At 37.0% G+C, this 21402-nt stretch overlaps 1 protein-coding gene across 47 annotated transcripts in view, besides 1 other annotated feature; it reads right to left on the reverse strand.

Moving 5' to 3' along the window:
- PIGN (phosphatidylinositol glycan anchor biosynthesis class N) overlaps positions 1-21207 on the reverse strand; it is a 169442-nt gene extending 148235 nt beyond the window's left edge. For 39 of the 47 annotated variants that reach the window (XM_047437461.1, XM_047437431.1, NM_001438910.1 and 36 more), the window contains exon 1: positions 20995-21207. The gene's annotated coding sequence lies outside the window, so the exon portion shown is untranslated. The remainder of the gene's footprint in view (positions 1-20994) is intronic. The other 8 variants (XM_047437439.1, XM_011525894.2, XM_047437440.1 and 5 more) reach the window with 1 other exon arrangement.
- Positions 20709-20921: a silencer, noted in NCBI's record as "fragment chr18:59853791-59854003 (GRCh37/hg19 assembly coordinates)". NCBI's record gives its function as "represses an EF-1alpha promoter that drives an FKBP-Casp9 reporter gene in an ReSE screen in phorbol 12-myristate 13-acetate-treated (for megakaryocytic differentiation) K562 erythroleukemia cells {active_cell/tissue: K562(+PMA)}" and the evidence as "EXISTENCE:reporter gene assay evidence [ECO:0000049][PMID:32094911]".

The following is a 21402-nucleotide window of genomic DNA, read 5'->3' on the forward strand; positions in this document are numbered from 1 at the left end:
AGTTTAAACAGTCGTGTGAGCTGAGTCCCATTAAAGTGGTTGTTTGAAAAGTAAATGGGAGGTGAGGGAGTGAGAGTGGAATGAGCACAACTCTTTGGGAGAATACTAACTTTGAAGAAAAGAAGAAAAATAAAAATTGATGTAGGGTCAGTAAAGGGTTTTCCTAAGCTATTAGAGACTAGAAGATTTGTGTGCTGAGGAATAATTTAGAATATAGAAGGATATGAATGATGCAGCAGAAAGCTGGAGTTAAATTCTCAGGATAGCAAGAGGGGATGGAATGGAGAGCACAAGTGGAGGAGCTGGGCTACTCTGAGTTTGCGCAGGACCTTCTTGCTTTTAGCACTGAAAGTCTAGCAGCCAGAGAAACATATTGGTTGCAGGCAAACTGGTATTGCGCTCTGGTTGGCTCTACCCTGCAGCAGGCTTCTTCTCATCTTTCATGCCCCTTCTCAAACGTCACCAACTAAAGGTTCTTCTGATCACTCTGAAGTAGGCCCCTCCTCCATCTTCCTTGATCCAAACAAACATACATTCTGTAGCTATTGTTAATATTTATTTAGTGGCGAGGCTGTGGAGAAATAGGAATGTTTTTACACTGTTGGTGGGAGTGTAAATTAGTTCAACTATTGTGGAAGACAGTGTGGCAATTTCTCAAGGATCTAGAACAAGAAATACCATTTGACCCAGCAATCCCATTACTGGGTATATACCCAAAGGATTATAAATCATTCTATATAAAGACACATGCAGACATATGTTTATTGCAGCACTATTTACAACAGCAAAGACTTGAACCAACCCAAATGCCCATTAATGATAGACTGGATAAAGAAAATGTGGCATATATACACCATGGAATATTATGCAGCCATAAAAAAGAATGAGATCATGTCCTTTGCAGGGACATAGATGAAACCAGAAGCCATCATTCTCAGCAAACTAACACAGGAACACAAAAACAAATACCACATGTTCTCACTCGTGAGAGTTAAACAATGAGAACACATGGACACAGAGAAGGGAACAACAAACACCAGGGCCTGTAGCAGGGGTGGAGGACAAAAGAAGGGAGAGCATTAGGGCAAATACCTAATGCATGCAGGTTTTAAAACCTAGATGACAGGTTGATAGGTGCAGTAAACCACCATGGCACATGTATACCTACGTAACAAACCTGTGCATTCTGCACATGTATCCCAGAACCTAAAGTAAAATAAAAAATAAAATAAATATTTATTTAGTGTATCTCTTCCACTAGAATGTAAGCTCCTTAAGAACACAGACTGACACCTCGTTCTCTCCCGTATGCCTTGTCTATTGACAGAGAGCAGGAGCGCTCTCTCTCTCTCTCTCTCTCTATGTATATATATAAAATCTCTCTCTATATATATATACACACACATATATATAGATAGAGATATATAGAGATATATATGTGTGTGTGTGTGTGTGTGTGTGTGTGTGTGTGTGTGTGTGTGTGTGTGTGTATTCAAAGTTGGCCAGGCATGGTGGCTCATGCCTGTAATCCCAGCATTTTGGGAGGCCGAGGTGGGTGGATCTCTTGAGGTCAGGAGTTCAAAACCAGCCTAGCCAACCTGGTGAAACCCCATCTCTACTAAAAATACAAAAATTAGCCAGGTGTGGTGGTGCACACCTGTGGTCTCAGCTACTCGGGAGGCTGAGGCAGGAGAATCGCTTGAACCTGCGAGGCAGAGGCTGCAGTGAGCCAAGATCGCACCACTGCACTCCAGCCTGAGCAACAGAGTGAAACTCCGTCTCAAAAAAAAAAAACAAAAAAAAAACAAAGTTATATGTCTCCATAACACACTCTCTCTCTCTCTCTCTACATATATATATATATACACACACACACAATAGAAGTGTAGTGATAACTTATTGTAGATAATATATTATGAAATTTACATTTTCCTGATGATCAATGATCATGAGCAACTTTTCACATGTTTAATGGACATTTTTTAGTCTCATCTTTTTATCCCTTCTCATTTTTTTAACGGTGTATATAAAAAAACAGTACTTTTAAATTCTGATTAAGTTCAGCCAGGTGCGGTGGCTCACGCTTGCAATCCCAGCACTTTGGGAGGCCAAGGCTGGTGGATCACCTGAGGTCAGGAGTTTGAGACCAGCCTGACCAAAAATGGAGAAACCCTATCTCTACCAAAAATACAAAATTAGCTAGGCGTGGTGGCGCACCCAACCACTTGGGACGCTGAGGCAGGAGAATTGCTTGAACCCCGGAGGCAGAGGTTGTGGTGAGCCAAGATTGCGCCATTGCACTCTAGCCTGGACAACAAAAGTGAAACTCTGTCTCAAAAAAAAAAAAATTCTGATTAAGTTCAATTTACCAACTTTTCTTTCTGGTTATTATATTTTATGTCCCAACTATGGAATCATTGTAAGTAACCATGCTTTCTTTATTACACATTTTTAATATCTTTTATTTGAAAATAATTTCAAACAAAGTTACGAGAATGGTACAGACACCTGTATACCCCTTAGCATATTCACCTAAATGTTAACATTTCCCCTATTTGTTCTTTTTTCCCACTCTTTCTCTGCTTTGCTCCATCCCAGCCTTGCCTCTGTGCTTTGTCCTTTTTCTCTGTATATATCTGATCACATAACATTGTTTCTGAACCATTTGAGGATAAGTTATATACACCATGACTCTTTATTCCTAAATACTTCAGTGTTTACTTCCTAGGAATAATGATACTCTCTTATACACCTACAGTATAGGTATCAATTCAGTAAATTCAACATCAATGTAATATTTAATCTACCATCCATATTCCAATTTTGTGAAGTGATCCAATAATGTTCTTTATAGCATTTTTATAGCTTTACTGAGGCATAATTGACCAAAAAACTGTACATAAAGTGTAATAATCACAGTCATAATGAACAAACCCATCAACCTAAAAGTTTTCTTATGAGTCTTTGTAATCCAACATTACCCCATTTCCTAGACAACCACTAATTTTTTTTTTTTTTTTTTTTGAGACGGTCTCACTTTTTGTTACCCAGGCTGGAGTGCAGTGGCATGATCTCAGCTCACCGCAACCTCCGCCTCCCAGGTTCAAGCAATTCTCATGCCTTAGCCACCTGAGTAGCTGGGACTACAGACGTGTACCACCATGCTCAGCTATTTTTGTATTTTTAGTAGAGAGAGGGTTTTGCCATGTTGGCCAGGCTGGTCTTGGAACTCCTGGCTTCAAGTGATCTGCCCACCTTGGCCTCCCAAGTGCTGGAATTATAGGTGTACCATGCCCAGCCCACTAATGTATTTTCTACCACTATAGATTTGTTTGCATTTTTGAATTTTATAAAAATCTATTTCTGCATCATGTACTCTCTTCCATCTGAATTCTTCCACTGAGCATAAATACTTTTAGAATCATATATGTTTGTTCCTTTTTATTATTGAGCATTATTCCATTGCACAGATATAGCATAATTTGTTTATTCACTCTCATGTTAACAGACACTTGTGTTGTTTCTAAAAGTTTTTGGCTATTTCAAATAAAGCTGCTATGAAGAATCACGTAACAGCTTATGTATGGGCGTGTGCTTTCATTTCTTCTTCTTATTTTTTTATTATTTTTTTTTTGAAACTCCTGGGCTCAAGCAATCCTCCTGCCTTGGACTCCCAAAGTGCTGAGATGACAGGCGTGAGTCACTGCTTTCATTTCTCTTCAGTAAACACTTGGGAATAAAATGGCTAGGTCAAATTGTAAATATATGTTTAACTTTTTTTTTTCCCTTGAGACAAAGTCTTGCTCTGTTGCCCAGGCTGCAGTGCAGTCGTACGATCACGGCTTACTGCAGCCTTGACCTCCTGGGCTCAAGTGATCCTCCCACCTCAGCCTCCTGAGCAGCTGGGACCACAGGTGAGAGCCAGCATGCCAGCTAAGTTTTAAATTTTTCGTAGAGATGGGGGGATCTCAGTATGTTGCCCAGGCTGGTCTCGAACTCCTGGGTTCAAGTGATTCTCCTGCCTTGGCCTCCCAAAGTGCTGGGATTACAGGTGTAAGCCACTGTGCCCAGCCATGTTTAACTTTTTCAGAAACTGACAAACTAGTTGTTTTCCAAAATTGTTGTACAACTTTACATTCCCACCAGCAATATATGAGAGTTTCAGTGGCTCTAATTCTCAGCAACACCTGGCATTGTCAATCTTTCAAACTTCATCTGAAGTGGGTGTGTACTGGTAGCTTGTTGTGATTTTAATATAATTTCCCTAATGACTAATATTATTGAGTATCTTTCCATAGGCTTACTGATCTACCATTTGTACGGATTTAATTTTTTAATTAGATTGTGTTCTTGTCACAGAACCATAATGGTTCTTAATATATTCTAGATGCAGGCATACCACATCTTATTGTGCTTTACTTGATTGCTCTTCGCAGATTTATTTTTGCAAGGTGACAGTTTGAAGCAACCCAGCATTGAGCAAGTATATTGGTGCTATTTTTCCAACAATATGTGCTCACTTCATGTCTGTGTCATATTTTGTAATTCTTGCAATTATTTCAAACTTTTTCATTACTATTGTCAGTTATGTTGATCTACGATCAGTGATCTTTGATGTTATGATTGTAATTGTTTTGAGACAATTCCATATAAGACAGCAAACTTAATAAATGTGTGTGTTCTGACGGTTCCACCAACTGGCCATCCCCCATCTCTCTCCCTCTCCTTGGGCCTTGCTATTCCAAAACACAACTAAATTGAAATTAGGACAATTAATAACCCTACAATGGCATCCTAAGTGTTCAAGTGAAAGAAAGACTCATGTGTCTCTCATTTTAACTCAAAAGTTAGAGATGATTAAGCTTAGTGAAGAAGGCATTTTGAAAGCCAAGACAGGCTGAAAGCTAGGCCTCTTGTTTTAAACAGTTATCCAGTTTGTAAATGCAAAGGAAAAGTTCTTGAAGAAAATTAAAAGTGTTACTCCAGTGAATACATGAATGATAATAAAGTTAAACAGTCTTATTGCTGATATGAAGAAAATTTGAGTGGTCTGGATAGAAGATCAAACCAGCCACAACATTTCCTCAAGCCAAAGCCTAATCCAGAGTTTAAGACCCTAACTCTTTTCAATCTATGAAGGCTGAGAGAGGTAAGGAAGCTGCAGAAGCGAAGTCAGTATCTATAAAAAAGCATGATGACATTCTGTTTGGAATGGAGTTAAATCCACAGACCAACTGGGGAAGAACTGATAACAATATTTAGTCTCTCTGTCCAGGAATACAGTATAACTCTCCATTTATTTAGGTCTTCTTTAATTTCCCTCAGCAATGTTCTGTAGTTTCAAATTAATAGGTCTTGTACATCATTTTTAAATACCATCTTTACAAATTTCATATTTTTGGTACTATTGTAATGTTATTTTTTATTTCAATTTCTCCTTGTTAATTCTTAAATCAACATTGATCTTTATATATTGACCCTGTACCCTGCAACACTGATCAACTGTTACGGTGGCTTTTGTGTATATGCTTTTTAACTTTCTGGAGATAATTAGGTTATCTATGAATAAAGACAATTGTACTTCTTGTCAATCTTTATGTATTTTATTTACATCTTATGCTTTTTATATTATCTAGAACCTCCAGTATGATGTGGAATAGAAGTGATTACAGCAGAAATCCTTGCCTTGTTTCCAATATTAGGATGAATGCTGTCAGTTTTCCAGGTTTTTGTAGATTCCCTCTAGTAGGCTGAGGAAGTTTCCTTTTACTCCTAATATGCTGACAGCTTTAAATCATGAATGGATGTTGGATTTTGTCAAATACTTTTTGTTGTATCTACTGAGATAATTATGATCATCTGATTTTTCTGGCCTGTTAATGTGGTGAATTAATATTTTGGCCTGTTAATGTGGTGAATTAATATTGATTAAATTTCAAATGTTAAACGCATCTTACATTCCCAGAATAAACCCCACTTAGTCATTAAGTATTATCCTTTCTACATATTGTTGGTCTTAGTTAAAATTTTACCATTTTTTGCAGCAAAGTTTATGAAAGATATAAGACTATAATTTTCTTTTCTTATATCTTTCTGTGGTTTTGGTATCAGACAATGAGTTGGGAAATGCTGTTCCTTCTTGTACTTTTTGGAAGAGTTTGTGTAAAATTTGTATTATTTCTTCCTTTATCGAATAACAAAATTCACCAATGAAACCACTGGCTTGGGGTTTTCTTTGTGACAAGGTTTTCAACCATATATCCAATGTCTTCACATATATAGATACAGATAAACACATATAGATATTCAGGTTATCTATTACTTCTTAAGTAAGCTTTCGTAGTTTTTAAGGAATTTATCCATTTGTCCATTTCATCCTAACTGTCAAATTTATTGACTAAAATTGTCCATAATATTTACCTATTATCCCTTTTTCCTGTCCTGCAGTCCAGGATCCAGTCTAAGGGCAAGTATCACATTAGTTATTCAAAATAAGTCATTTTTCAAGTACTTAATTCCTTTCAGTTAGATCTTAAATTCTATCCAGAGCTAAAGTACATATGGCATATTTAGATTTACAGATGTTCACTTTGATTTAAACACCTCCTCTTTATCATGGAAATAAATCTTAGTACTCTAATATGTACTTACACATATGTACTTAACTTAGTACTCTAATAATGTACTTAACTTATAAGTACATTAAGATGTATTTGTAAATGCAAATGTGCATTTGTAAATGCAAATGTATATTTGTAAATTGTAAATGTAAATGCAAATGTATATTTGCATTTACAAATAACTCCCTGGGCTCATGTTCTTTCTTGTCCCATTTGCCACTGCACTGCTTTGCTAAGTTAAGTATCAAAGTTTATGTGTTAAAAGATAATATAAATTTTCCAAGGTTTACTGAAGTAACAAAACATTTTATTTCAGAACTTTGACCATCTTAAAGTTATAATAGCCAACACAAAAATCTAGTTCTGTTACATAATAAGAGTGGATTCTAGTAAAGCCACTGTTACTGTTTCCTTATCCATAAAAAAAGACACTGTCAGCCCTACTCCATTACAGAAGTATTATGGGAAATAAGTAGACTCCCCAATGACACCATACGAACACAAAATATTAGCAATACTAAAAATAACTAGATTGTGAAGCAACCCAACTCATATTTTTAAAATCAACCTGTAAATAGTTGACTTTACATTATGCTGAAGAAAGCAATAGAAGAGACAAAGATATATTTTCCTGCCAAATTGGTAATTAAGATTGGGACTTCTTATTGGTGATCCAAATCATGCAAATAAACTCTGTAAATAACAAGCATTTTGACAATAACTCTATTCAGCCATTTATTAGGTTACGGTCTACAAAATTTTAAAACGCAACTTGGTGTCTATTCTGTTTATTTATTTTTGAGACAGTAGCCTCACTCTGCCACCCAGGCTGGAGTGCAACAGCACAATTTCCGAGCCTCAGACAATCCTCCCACCTCAGCCTCCCTAGTAGCCGGGACCACAAGGTGTGCCACTACACCTGGCTAATTTTATTTTACTTTTTCTAGAGACTGGGTCTCACTGTGTCACCCAGGCTGGTCTTGAACTCCTGGGCTGAAGCAATCCTCTCACCTCAGCCTCCCAAAAAGTGCTGGGATTACATGTGTAAGCCATTGCACCCAGCCTTGGTGTCTATTTTGGATGCACTTGGAGATCATGTCCTTAGCGGATTCTGGCATTAGGTACATTACTAAAATTACCCAAACTTTGTATTTCTTACCTGTAAAATGCAGATAATACTGATGAACTATAAAAATGGTTGTGAGGATTAGAATAAACGTATGTCAAGTACCTAGCCCAACACTTGGCACTCAGTAAATGATAACACTTCAGTTTTGCTTCACAAAGATAAATTAAACATTATGAAATAAGAATAGTCATATGGTCACTAAATTCTGCCAATTCAACCACCTAATTAATTCTCTCCCTTCATCCTTTCCAATTGGAACACAAGGAAGAGCAACAAATAGGTGGCAAAAGCTAAAAAGCCTTCCATAATTTCACTATTAAAACTGATCATTTCTCGGCCGGGTGCGGTGGCTTACGCCTGTAATCTCAGCACTTTGGGAGGCCAAGGAGGGCAGATCACGAAGTCAAGAGTTCGAGACCAGCCTGACCAATGTGGTGAAACCCCATCTCTACTAAAAATACAAAAATTAGCTGGGCATGGTGGCGGGCACCTGTAATCCCAGCTACTCAGGAGGCTGAGGCAGGAAAATCACTTGAATCTGGGAGGCGGAGTTTACAGTGAACCAAGATCATGCCACTGCACTCCAGCCTGGGCGACAAAGCGAGACTCCAACTCAAAAAAAAAAAAAAACTGATCATTTCTCATCTTCTCATTGTCTGCCTTAGAAACACTTCCATGGTAGCTCCTAGTTCACTGCTGTAATTACTTACTTTTTCAGTTTTACATACCAAATTATATGATCTTTTAGACACACTCCCATTCACTTCTATATTCACAACATTCTTCCACTTGTGACTGACCCATTAATAGCTCCTTAGTAAATGTTTATTGCCTATATGAAGAAATGGCATATTATAAAGCAAAGGCAATTGAGTCAAACTTTGAGTTCACAAAAGAACAAGCTGAAGGCCAGAGACATGAAGTGAGGTCTCAGCTCATACTGTTATTTAATATGCAGCAGTAAAAATCTAATTAGGCGAGATGAATGAGTAAACAATTATAAAGACTTAACTACCATCATAGACACATTTACTTTTAACCATTGCATTATCCAATAGAAGCTTATATTATTCATATTTTCTCTGATCCTATTAAATTCCCAATATTATTAATTAATTAAATCGGTTAAATTAATGCTAATGCATTATTTTTAAAAGTGGTTTAGGTAAGCACAATATTTTTAAAAACATACATAGCAACTAGCTGAACAGAAAAATGAATGTCCTATACAATTACTTAGTTCCTATAAAAATCATGGCTATGAGACAATGAGACCATTTTTAAACTGTCATGCAATTCAATCCCCTCCCCCTCAAAAAAGCTTTTAAGAGGATCTGAAAACAACTCCCCTAATCAAATTAATAAAATTTCTTGATTACAGACTCACAGTGTTCACTACTAAACATGAATGACATAAACATTATATATATTAGATATATATTATAAATATATATTTTTATATATAATAAATATATATATTTAATATATCTAATATATATAATGTTTATGTCATTATATATATAAAACTCAGTGTCCAGTTGAGTTTTGTTTTCAAAGGAACTCGTGTTTTCACTTCTCCACATTCACTGCCATCACCTAAGTCCATTATTTTTCACCTGGACCTCTTCAACAACTTCCAAATGGTTTCCCTACCAAACTGCAGAAAACTACACAATGTAAGTTTCTCCCTTCATCTAAAGTAATTACATATTTTACTCTACAAATTGTAGAACATTTCACTTGTTCACTATACTTCATTCTAATTGTTCTTCAGGAATTTTATACACAGGTACTGACCCCAAAACTCAGATTAAAGGTTAAAACTCTTTAACCCATTCCCCATAAAATTTCCATTTTCTTCCCTTTCAATGTAAATTAGATTACATCTTTTCCCTTCTTAAAGTCTGTGAGTAGCTTTCCATTGTTCCAAGAGTAATATCCTGTGTTCTTCCACTACCTCCGTGGCCCTGCATACCTCTCTCACCTCATTATGGCATCCCACCTTGGGCTCCCAAAGTGCTGGGATTACAGGTGTAAGCCACCACACCCGGCCAAATGCATGTTTCTAATATGTATCCTCAGACTAGAATATAAGCTAGAATGAAGGCAATGACTGTGTTTCTGTTCACTCATGCTCACCACCTAACGGCATAGTGCAGTCACTTTATGATTCATTGGTGGAATGAGTATATATTTGAACTTTATTTATTTTCCCCCAGTTCACTAAAAAGTACAGTTAATGTAGCATCAAGTCAAAGAGAAATTTTACTTATTTTGGGGAATATGGCAGGAAGAGAGCTAATAAAAAGTCCTTGAAAGCTTCTAAAATTCCCCCTAGGTATCTTAGGAACCATCATTAGCTAATTAATCTTTCAATTAGGAAGTACAGGCTCTATTGTCTCAAATTTCAGATAAAGAAAAGGTAAGAAATGAACAAGAAGTTTCAGGCAATTTTTATTTTTAAATAACTTATTTAATGAGATATATAACTAGGCTATAAAAGAGTATCTAAAATTCCAGAAAGGAAAATCAAGTGAGAATATAATTGATAATTTTCTCTAACATTATGTTAGAGAGAATTGCTTTAACAAGTAATGACTTATTATCCTTATCTCTACCAGAATACAATGAGATATTAATGAGTTTAGAATCCCATATCTCTTTTTTACAGAATAATTTCAATTAATTCAGGTAGCAGGAATGAGGGAGATATAAAATTACAACTAGGCAAACATCACAGTAATTATTGCCACCAAGATCCATTGATAAATGCTAAAATCAATGGATCAAAGTTTCAGGGAAACAGGATATTTGCAGTCTTAAAGAAACGTCTCCAAATATTTATTCCTTACAAAGGGAAAAATACTAACAATGGAGAAAATAGTCAGACACCATTTAACCAAGTGGTCATGGTTAACACAACCAATAGTAAGACATACTAACATCATGTAACCCTGACCAGATGCACCGAGAAAGGCAAAACATGGTAGTCTTGGCAAAAGAACATGTGGTATTCTTGTTAAAAATGTATAATCTCAATCTAATAATGGTAATATATCAGATAGACCCAAATTGAGACAGCCTACAAAATAATGGACAAGTACTCTGTAAAAGAATGGAGGAGGTTAAAGAGACTTACCTAAACACAACAAGGGAAACCGGATGAGAAAATAGTGGAAAAACTAGTTAACTTCAACTAAGATCTGTAGTTAATAGTATTATACAAATACTAATGTACTGGTTTTGATAATTATATGATGTTTACATAAGATGTTTACATTAGGTGAAGTTGAGTAAAGGGTGTACTGGAACTCTGTACTGTTTTTGCAACTTTTCCACAGATCTAAACATTATTTTTAAATAAAAAGTAAAAAAAAAAAAATTGGAGTCTGAATCTATACTCAAAAGATACACTGTTGTAATTATAAACCACCGCAAGTTTTATGGATAGCTCTGATTTCAGGTAACCTTTGTTCTTGTCAAACATGATTTGCTAAACTTACAGACTATCAGTGATTTAATGTTCACATTGGCATAAACCATATTAAAAAGCTTATGAATTAAAGATGGTGTCCCATAGGTCCCTATGGTTTTGTTCACTTTTCTTCATTTCTTTTTCTTTCTGCTTCTATAATTGCAATTGCCCCATTTTCAGGTTCATTGACTCTTTCTTCCACCTGTTCAAATTTGCTGCTGAATCCCTCTTGTGAACAGTTTGTTTCAATTATTGTACTGCTAAGCTCCAGTATTTCTATTTGGTTCATTCTAATAATTTATATCTCTTTTGATGCTCTTATCTCGTTCATACATCACTTTCCTGACTTCCTTTAGTTCTTTGTCTATGGTTTCCCATAGCATTTTGACATATTTAAGACAGATGATTAACGTCTTTGTCTACTAAGTCCAATGTCAGGACTTCCTCAAGGGTGGCTTCCACCAATTTGTTTATTTTTTTCTGTGAATATGCCATCCTTTCCTGAGTCTTTATATGCTTTTTTGTAACTTTCTGTTGAAATTTATATTTCGAATATTATAATGCAGTAATTCTAGAAATCAGATTCCAGAATTCTGGCATTTTCTTTTGATTTTTGAAGGGTTCAGCCTTTTGTTTAGTAACTTTTCCAAACTATTTTTGCAAAGACTTTATTCCTTTTGTTTATGGTCATTAAAGTCTCTGTTTTGTTATCTTACTGATCAGCCAATGGCAGATTTAGATTTCCTTAAATGCCTAAAACAAAAACAAATAGTACTCTCCCAAGTTTTTGTAGTCTGGCTCTCAGCTGAAGTACTCTCACACTAAGCTTGGCCACCTACACTTCTGCCTTAGCCTTCACCTTCTGCTTGTCTAGTGCTCACAGATCTTCCAAAGGTAGAAGCGTAGGCACCTCTCAGGATCTTTCTGGGAATGCATTACATGTAATTTTTGCGGGGGATAAAGATGGGACAAAATTCAGCCTCTACATTGGTCACTCAGGAAACCACTAGACAGATCAAAATGCACAACCACAGTATTTTAAGAACAAAGTCCATACTAAATACAAGCAAGTCACACCAGAAATGTGGGCCATAGTCCCCACAGCTGCTGCCATTGCCACAATGGTGAATGAGGATGGTAATCCAGTGGATTAAATGCCACAGCACTCTGAAATTCAGCTGCCCTCTTCTTCATTATGCAGTCTCCTGGTTGCTGTAAATGTCAGACCAGATTTTAGAATCCCAAAACAGTTGATCCTGTCACTCTGCCCCCTTATGCTTGTTTCAGTGGAGGAACTAACCCTTATAATAAACCACCGTACTCTGCCATTTTCGGTAATGTCACCTAGAGATTGTGTTCTTAACCACTTCAACATTTACTAAAAATACACAAACCTACGATGTGAAGTAAAACCAGCCAAAACTGTAAGACAGAGCTGGTAGTCCCAGCTACTTAGGAGGGTGAGGCGAGAGGATTGCTTGAGCCTAGGAATTCAAGGCTAGCCTGGGAACATAGCAAGACCCACTTAAAAAAAAAAAAAGAAGAAGAGGAAAGAAAAACTGTAAGATAGTACTTGGAGCCTGCACACAAGATTATCAGATAAACTATTAAGCCATATAATTAGCACTAGTTCATTTGCTTATTATTCTGGGGTATATATTTTTTCATCAAGATTTATGTCATTTTTAATTGTAAACTCTATGTGACTTTACAAAATCCCATATGAGAACTAATTTTCAAATTTTCTCATGGCAAGTAGACTAGAGGTTATTAGTTCTTTAGATGATTCCTGCCCACTTGAGTTCAAAATCTTTTATCTGTATCTCACATCCTTTTTCTGTTCCAGAAACTCTACCAGGATACCACAGGGCAGCTAGTCACCATATCTCCTTAGGCTTCTCTTGGCTGTGATAATTTCTCAGACTTTGCTTGTTTTGATGACCTTGTGAGTTTTGAGGAGTACTGGTCAGAGATTTTGTATAATGTCTTGCTATTGGGATTTATCTGATGTTTTTCTCATGGTAAGTCTGGGGTTATGGGTTCAGGAGAGGAAACATACATACATAAAGTACCATTTTCTTCACATCACATTAAGGGTACTGTCAACATGACTTACTAAACTGTTAATATAAAACTTGACCACTTGGCTGAGGCGGTTTGTTCAGTTTGTCCTCTGTAAAGTTCACTGTAAAGTTTCTCCATGTAAATGTTCCCCCATTTCATACTATAGTTTTTGGTAGGAAGTCACTACGTGCAGCCAACACTTAAAGAGTGAGGAGTTACACTCCACCTCCTGAGATGACGAGGCACCTACATAAATTGATGTTCTTCTGTATGAAGAGTATATATGTTAAACCCAGTCAATTGTGTAATTAAAAGCCATCTGTCGGTCAGGCCTGATGGCTCACACCTGTAATCCTAGCACTTTATGAGGCCAAGGCAGGTGGATCACTTGAGCTCAGGAGTTTGAGACCAGCCTGGGCAATGTGGTGAAACCCCATCTCTACAAAAAATGCAAAAAAATTAGTCAGGCATGGTGGCACATGCCTGTAGTCCCAGCTACTTGTGGGGCTGAGGCAGGAGGATTGCTTGAACCCCGGAGATCGAGGCTGCCAGTGAGCTGAGATCACGCCACTGCACTCCAGCCTGGGTGACAAAGTGAGACCCTGTCTCAAAATAAATAAATACATACATAAATAAAAGCCATCTGTCATTCTACAAGATTACATTAATATTATAATCATCATCATTTCCACTCCTGCTTTCCCCACCTTACTTGAAATTAATTTTTACCAGTATAGATGCAAAGCCATTATTTCTTTTATAAGCTTATTCTAATCAGTACTACCAAAAAAGCCTTATAAATGATCTCAAACATTCAAGACCTATATTCTATTATATGACTCTATTACAATTTAATTGAACACTATCCTGCTGATCAACATCACTCGCAGTTGTCATGATTACAAATAATATGGCAATTAAGCTGCTCTCTTATGGTAAAGGTGGAGATTTTTAGAATTTTTACAAACTGTAGAGTAGTGACCCATAACAAAATAATTTCATGGACTGCAATTAGCCTTCTTTCCTTTTTTTAAAAAATGAAATAGAATACAGTACAATAGGATTGGATAAAATATAGAATATATCACATCACAAAGTACTTCAGAAGTAGTACATGATTATTTTGAAAAAGTGTGTTTTTTTCCTGTGTATCCACGCATCAATATTCTTGCATGTACATAACCTGTACTGAAAGTTTTATTTTAAATTATTCTATGGACCAATAAGATTGAAAGCCACCTCTATAAGTGGAATTGCTCTAATAAACAAAATTTTCAACTTTACAAGTGACTGGCAAAGTGTCCATACTAATTTACATACTCTCCAGCAATGTACGAAAGCTTCTATATCTCTAAATCCCCCTAATTGCTTGATACTGTCATATTTACCTTAAGACAATTTGAACAGGCCAAATTGGCATCCTGTTATTTGAATATGTATTTGCCTGATTACTAGTGAGTATGAAAATTTTTTCATGTTTTTATTGGCCAATTGGGTCTCTCTTCCTTTCAACTGCCTATTCATATCCTTTGATCAGATAGGATTAGGGTTATTGACCTTTTATTTGACTTGTACATTACAATTATATGTGTGTGTATGTTTATATAGTGTGTGTATGTTTATACATAGCTAGATATACACATTTATATATAAATGTTGTTCATAGGGCCTTTTGTTAAAATAAATTTTTCAACTTTAATACAGTAAAATTTGTCAAACATTTATCCTTTCTGGTGTGAGTTTTTTGTGTCTTGTACTATAGAAGAAAACTTTCCTGGTTCTTATGTCACATATATTCTTCTAATAGTTTTAGATTTTTGTTTTTTACCTTTCATTATTTAAAATTTATTTGTGTTGGTTTGTGTCCTCTGAAACAAAAATAATTATTTGTATATGGTGTGAGGTAGACATCAGCTTATGTTTTTAACCAGCTCACAAGTATTAGTACTGCTACTAGTGTAGAATTTACTATGATAAAATTACACATCAGAAAGAAAAAGGTTTTAAACCTTTACATTCAAATCTTGGCTTTTGCTATTTGTAATAATAAAAAATTGGAAACAATATCTAACCATAGGGAACAGATAAATTGTTTATTCATAATGAAATACCATATTTCTGAAAAGGATACATCTCATAAATATCAGTATTAATAAAAAAAATTTTAAACATCTATTGCCCTTTTCTCCCCAACACAGTCAAACTTCTTGAAAAGGCTGAATGTGACCTCTTTTTTTTCCTGACCACCTAAATCTCAAACAACTTAAACCTTATTGTCATTACTTCATAAGAAAGTAAAGACAGTTAACAGTGCAAAATCTAATAGCTATTTTTTAGTCTTCATTTTCTAAGCAACCTAAGCTTCCTGGGCTAAGTCATCCTCCCACCTCAGCTTCCCAAGTAGCGGGGACCACAGGTGCATGTTTACCACATTCAGCTAATTTTTGTATTTTTTGTAGAGCGGGGGTCTTGCCATGTTGCCCAGGCTGGTCTTGAACTCCTGGGCTCAAGTCATCTACTCACCTCGGCCTCCTAAAGTGCTGGGATTACAGGTGTGAGTTGCTGGGCCCAGTCGCCTTCTCCTTTTTATTTTTATTTCTTTTTAGACAGAGTCTCGCCCTATCTATCGCCCAGGCTGGAGTGCAGTGGCGCGATCTCGGCTCACTGCAACCTCCACCTCCCGGGTTCAAGCAATTCTCCTGCCTCAGCCTCCCAAGTAGCTGGGATTACAGGCACACAGCATCATGCCCAGGTAATTTTGTATTTTTAGTAGAGACAGGGTTTCACCATGTTGGCCAGGCTGGTCTCAAACTCCTGACCTCAGGTGATCCACCTACCTCATCCTCCCAAAGTGGTGGGATTACAGGCATGAGCCACCATGCCCGGCTGCCTTCTCCTTTTTAATAGGCTGTTATCACTTGGCTTCTATGAACATTACTGCTTTCATTTTTCACCTACACCTCTGACCAATGTTGAACAGTCTCTATCTGATCACTAAATTTTGGAGTTACTCAAAACTTGGTCCTCAGCTGTCTTTTCTTCTCACTCTATACTTTCTATCCTGGCAAGTTTCATCATATCTGTGGCTTCAGTTATTACCTAATATGCAAAAGCCTCAACAAATTATAGCTCCAAATCCACATATGTAACTCGAACCTTTATAAATCTACATGGACGTTTCAAAGACACTCAACTAAGTAGGTTTAAAACCAAATTCATAACATTTCCCATGAGCCTTGTCTACTACCTACTAAATCCTTAGTGTTCACAATCTCAGTAGGTGGCACCACCTTCCCACCAAGTATGTAAGTCTGAGAAATAGGCATTGTTCTTTACACCCTATTCTTCCCCTTTATTTAATCTAACAATTGTCCACTTTGTGTTTCTTGAATCTGTTCATTTGTCTTAATCTCCATTGACACCTCTATAATTTAAGATGTATACCATCTCTTATGCGAACTACTGCAATGCAGGAATAGGTCACCCCTATATACTCTAACCCTTCTCTGATCCATTTCTTGCCATGTAGCCAGAGTATTACTTGCTTTTCTTTTTTCAAAAGAAAATCTGAACATCTTACCCCTTGTATAAAACTCTCCAGTGCCTTCTGTGAAGCATTCACTGTCTTTAAAGTCAAAAGACACGTTTGCAACAACACGGATGTTCCTGAAGCCTGGTATGCTAAGTGAAATAAGCCAGGTGCAGAAACACAAATACTGCATGATTTCACTCCTATGTGGAACTTAAGAAAGTTGACCCCACTGAATTAGAAGCAGAATGGTGGTAACCAGAGGCTGGGGTAGTTCCACAGCGGGGGGCAATTGTAGAGATACTGATCAAAGCATTCATATTAGAGTTAGATAGAAGGAATAAGTTCAAGAGCTCTGTTGTACAGCATGGTGACTCTAGTTAATGATGATATATTGTATTCTTGAAAACTGCTAAAAGGGTAGATGTTCAAATTTCTCATCACAAAAATGATAACTATGTGTAAGGTAATGCATTTGTTACTTAGCTAGATTTGAGCATTTCACAATGTATATAAACTGAAGAACATCATGTACACAATGAATACATAAAATCGTATATTAAAAAATAAATTTAAAAATGAAGTCACAGCTGGAAAAAAAAAACTCTCCAGTGCCTTTTCACCTACTAATCTAGACTAAAATCCTTAATGTGACTAACAAGGTCTTTTATAGACTAGCCTCTGCCTTCTTTTCTAAACCTGTCTCATAGCACTCCCCTTTACTTTGTAACATCTCACATCACTGGCCCCTTCTTTTATTCAAGTATCCCACTGCTATAAGACCTTTGTAGGCTCAATTCCTCTCTGCAGAATGTACTTGCAACCTATCTTCCACTCTCTCCTAACATTCCATTTCAAGCATCACTTCCTCAGGGACTATGCAGGTGAAGTCAGAAACGAAAACTTTTACTTCAGTTTGTAATTACATAGCTTTGTCTACGACTATTTGAATTAATGTCTGTCTCTGTCACTTCACCACAATTCCATGACAGCAGGACGGGGCATCTCCAACACCCATCAGAGTCTTATGCACTTAGTAAGGACTCAAATGTTTGCTGAATAAATTATTTAGAATTATCATTTCAAGGGTAAATGCAATATGCACTACAGCCACTAGAGGATGCCCTGCTTCTGTTTTTGTTCCTCCAGAACAAGATGTGAAGACTGAAAATACTTTAAAAAAAAAAAAACTAAACCTTTTATGATAAAGTAATTTACTATTAATGTAAATAAAATTGCAGTTATTACAAAATATCAGCATTCACTAACTACTTATTTTAATTAGTTTAATTGCTTAATACTAAATATTACTTAATACTTCTCTTTAAAGAAAATCACAATTTATTCAGATTTATTGAAAAAGAAATACCTCCAAAACAAACACATAACTATTAAAATTTTAAAAAGATATATGCATGTACCAATACAAGTTATCTAGTTTATCTGTGGATGTTTACCACACACTGAAAAACAATAAAACATGAGGTATTACTAAAACCTCAAGTCAACCAAAACTTGCATTCAGAATATTACTTGTGGTTCTTTTAAGACTATTAAAACCTAAAATAATTTTTTAAATACTAAAATGATTGACGTGCTTTGAAAAAAGGCATCTTTTACATCTTCATTGCTAAGGCACAAGCTTTAATAACTATCATTAGTCAGATGAAACATTAGTTGTAAGGGCCTAGATTAATGAAAATCTTACTAAGTAGAAAGGAAATTTCCCAACACTATTAATAATACATTATTATAAGTAGTGATCGGTAATTTTTAATATTCCAGTGTGTGTTACTTATACATTATTCACGAATAACCAAACCTCTGTGTATTGTGGAAAAGAAAAGTACATACTGGGAAGACTGGGCAGTTGATTTCTAATGGGCTTACAAGATCAAACACACAAGTTCATGGTTATAGGATAGGAGGCAGAAATAGAAGCAGAAAACCACAGATTTGTATGGGAAGAATTCCTCTACATGCAAGTTCTTACAACTCTGAGGAAACATTTTAAATCTATTTTCAACTTGTGTTTTAGAACTGAGACCCCAAATTAAAGATACTCCCTTCAGCCCTACTGACTTAATTGCTTTTTCAGGCTTGCACTGCCAAAACGATTGATATTAGTTTTATTTTTAAACACTTGTCAAATGTTCTCAACACATACTAATATTTCAATAATTAATAAGTGACCACAGTAATAGTTATTGTGTAGCAGGTACCAGGCACTGGGACAAGAACATTCTCAATTCTGTGTACTTTCCTTATCCCCTTTGATAGACGAATGCAAGTGAGGCTGAGAAGTTAGGTAACTTTTTCAAGGTCTCACAATAAATAATGAGTAGAATTGGGATCTGAACTTAAGCTTTTCTATCTTATAAGCATAATCCTCTTCAGGAATCCTAAATGCAGGAGATTTCTCAATTTCCCAATCATGGAGATGGAAATATTGTATATAAACAATCCATTTCTAATCATGCCCTTCCCATGCCATTCACTAATCCTCCATTCCTGGATTCCAGAAATTGGTTCCATTTTAATCTCTCTGGAAAATCCAACTAAAATACGGATCAGCAATCCCTTTTGCTAAGAAATCTCTAACAGGATACAGTATTTGCCATTTCAATTCTATTTGGGGGGATTTTTTTCCCCATGTTTTACTTTTAATATATGGCACAGAAAACTATTTATCATTAAAACATTGGGAACTAATGTCCTATAAAAAAATAGTTTAAATTCTTGGTACTTTTTTTTTAAACTTCTAGCAAAAATAAAATTTTAAAAACCCAAATCCCCATTCAAATGAAAATTTTAGTTTATTGAGCCTGGGTATATTGAAATTAAAGCCTACTCTTAACTGTTGGCATACTTTTACATGTAAACCAATAACCTGACCTAAGGTTATGTAAGAATCGTCTATTTTAATTTTTCCATGGAGCTAACGGGAGATACTTTACTGTGGAATGTTTACTACACACTGAATGTAATATGTCACTTACCTGTACACTAAGAAAGGAAATCTAAAGCCTGGAAAAGTGGTCATTTGTGTGTGAAAAAAATAGGAGCCATAAGAAATAGCAGTCTAATTGTATTGACTGGAAATTCCTTTACCTTTTCAGATCATAATCAAGGAATGACATAAAAGATAAACGTTGATCTTCTAAACTTAGGATATGTACTTTATATGCTAACATTTCATCAAAAAAATCAAAACTCTCTGAAGCATTCAACTTTTAAAATAGTTCTAAGTTCCAAAACCTTGATTCTAGCCTGCATGAACGAGTCAGAAATGTTGCAGGAGACAGTGGATAAAGAATCGTTTGGGACATAAGAGAAATGATGTTAATTCCTTTGACTCCTTATTAGCGGAATTGATTTTTTTTTTTTTTTTTTTTTTTTTTTGAGACGGAGTCTCGTTCTGTCGCCCAGGCTGGAGTGCAGTGGCGCGACCTCGGCTCACTGCAATCTTCGCCTCCGGGGTTCAAGCGATTCTCCTGCCTCAGCCTCCTGAGTAGCTGGGATTGCAGGCTTGCGCCACCACGCCCAACTAATTTTTGTGTTTTTAGTAGAGAAGGGGTTTCACCATGTTGGTCAGGCTGGTCTCGAACTCCCGACCTCGTGATCCGCCCGGCTCGGCCTCCCAAAGTGCTGGGATTACAGGCGTGAGCCACCGCGCCCGGCGTGGAGCTGATTTTATAACAACCACTCTTGGCTTAAGTTTACTTATCTGTCTACTGGTGAGACAGCATTAGATATTCTGAAGGGTCCCTGTTGTGTAAATCGTGTATTAAATCCTAAGCGTTTATTGAGTACCTAACAATTTGTTTTCCAACTCGACGATGTTCCCAGATCCAGGCAAATGCCAACCTCAGCGTTCCCTTTTCCGTTTAGTCTCTCCAGCCCCCGTCCCCACCCACAGGCAGGACCACCTCCGGGGCTGAGAAGTCGTGCTGTCGCTAGGCCTCCCGAGTGTGCAAGCATGTGGCAGAGAAGGGAAAAGAAAGGAAGTCACATTCCGACTACAGGCCTGGGCACTTGCTATCCATGGGGACAAAATGTCACCACTGGCAGCAAATAGCGAGAAAAAGTGCAGCGCAGTAGGGAAACAGCGCGTCCGCGGGCGCGACACCACAGTTTGGGCGCCGACACCCTCCGCGCACTGGTCCCTGAACTTTACCTGGAGCTTATCCCGGTCAGGCCTGATCTCGAAAACGAGGGCTCCTCAGCGCGAAGGCAGGACCCAGCTCCATTAAAGCTCTCGGGCAGTGGTCCCCTCTACCCACTGAAGCGATAGCCGGGAGGGTATTCCTAAGCCACCACTACAACCACCCCTCAATTCCGGAACGCCCCCAATACCTGCCCGGCCGCTGCTGCTATCGCGATAATTCTCGGGCCAGTCTCCCGTCAGTCCGCTCCACGCCTTCCTTCTCTGACCAATCATGGAGGAGTCGTGGGTGGAGTTTTGCTTTTGAGCGGAGAGCGGGGCCTTCAATCTTTGCTATCTGGCGCTGGGAATGGGCGGAGCTGAAGTGGGCTGGGGCGGGGCTGGGGCGGGGCTAGATCGGGGAGAGGGGCAGGGGCACGC

This window comes from Homo sapiens, chromosome 18 (assembly GCF_000001405.40).
Source record: "Homo sapiens chromosome 18, GRCh38.p14 Primary Assembly".
In the NCBI taxonomy this organism is placed as follows: domain Eukaryota; kingdom Metazoa; phylum Chordata; class Mammalia; order Primates; family Hominidae; genus Homo; species Homo sapiens.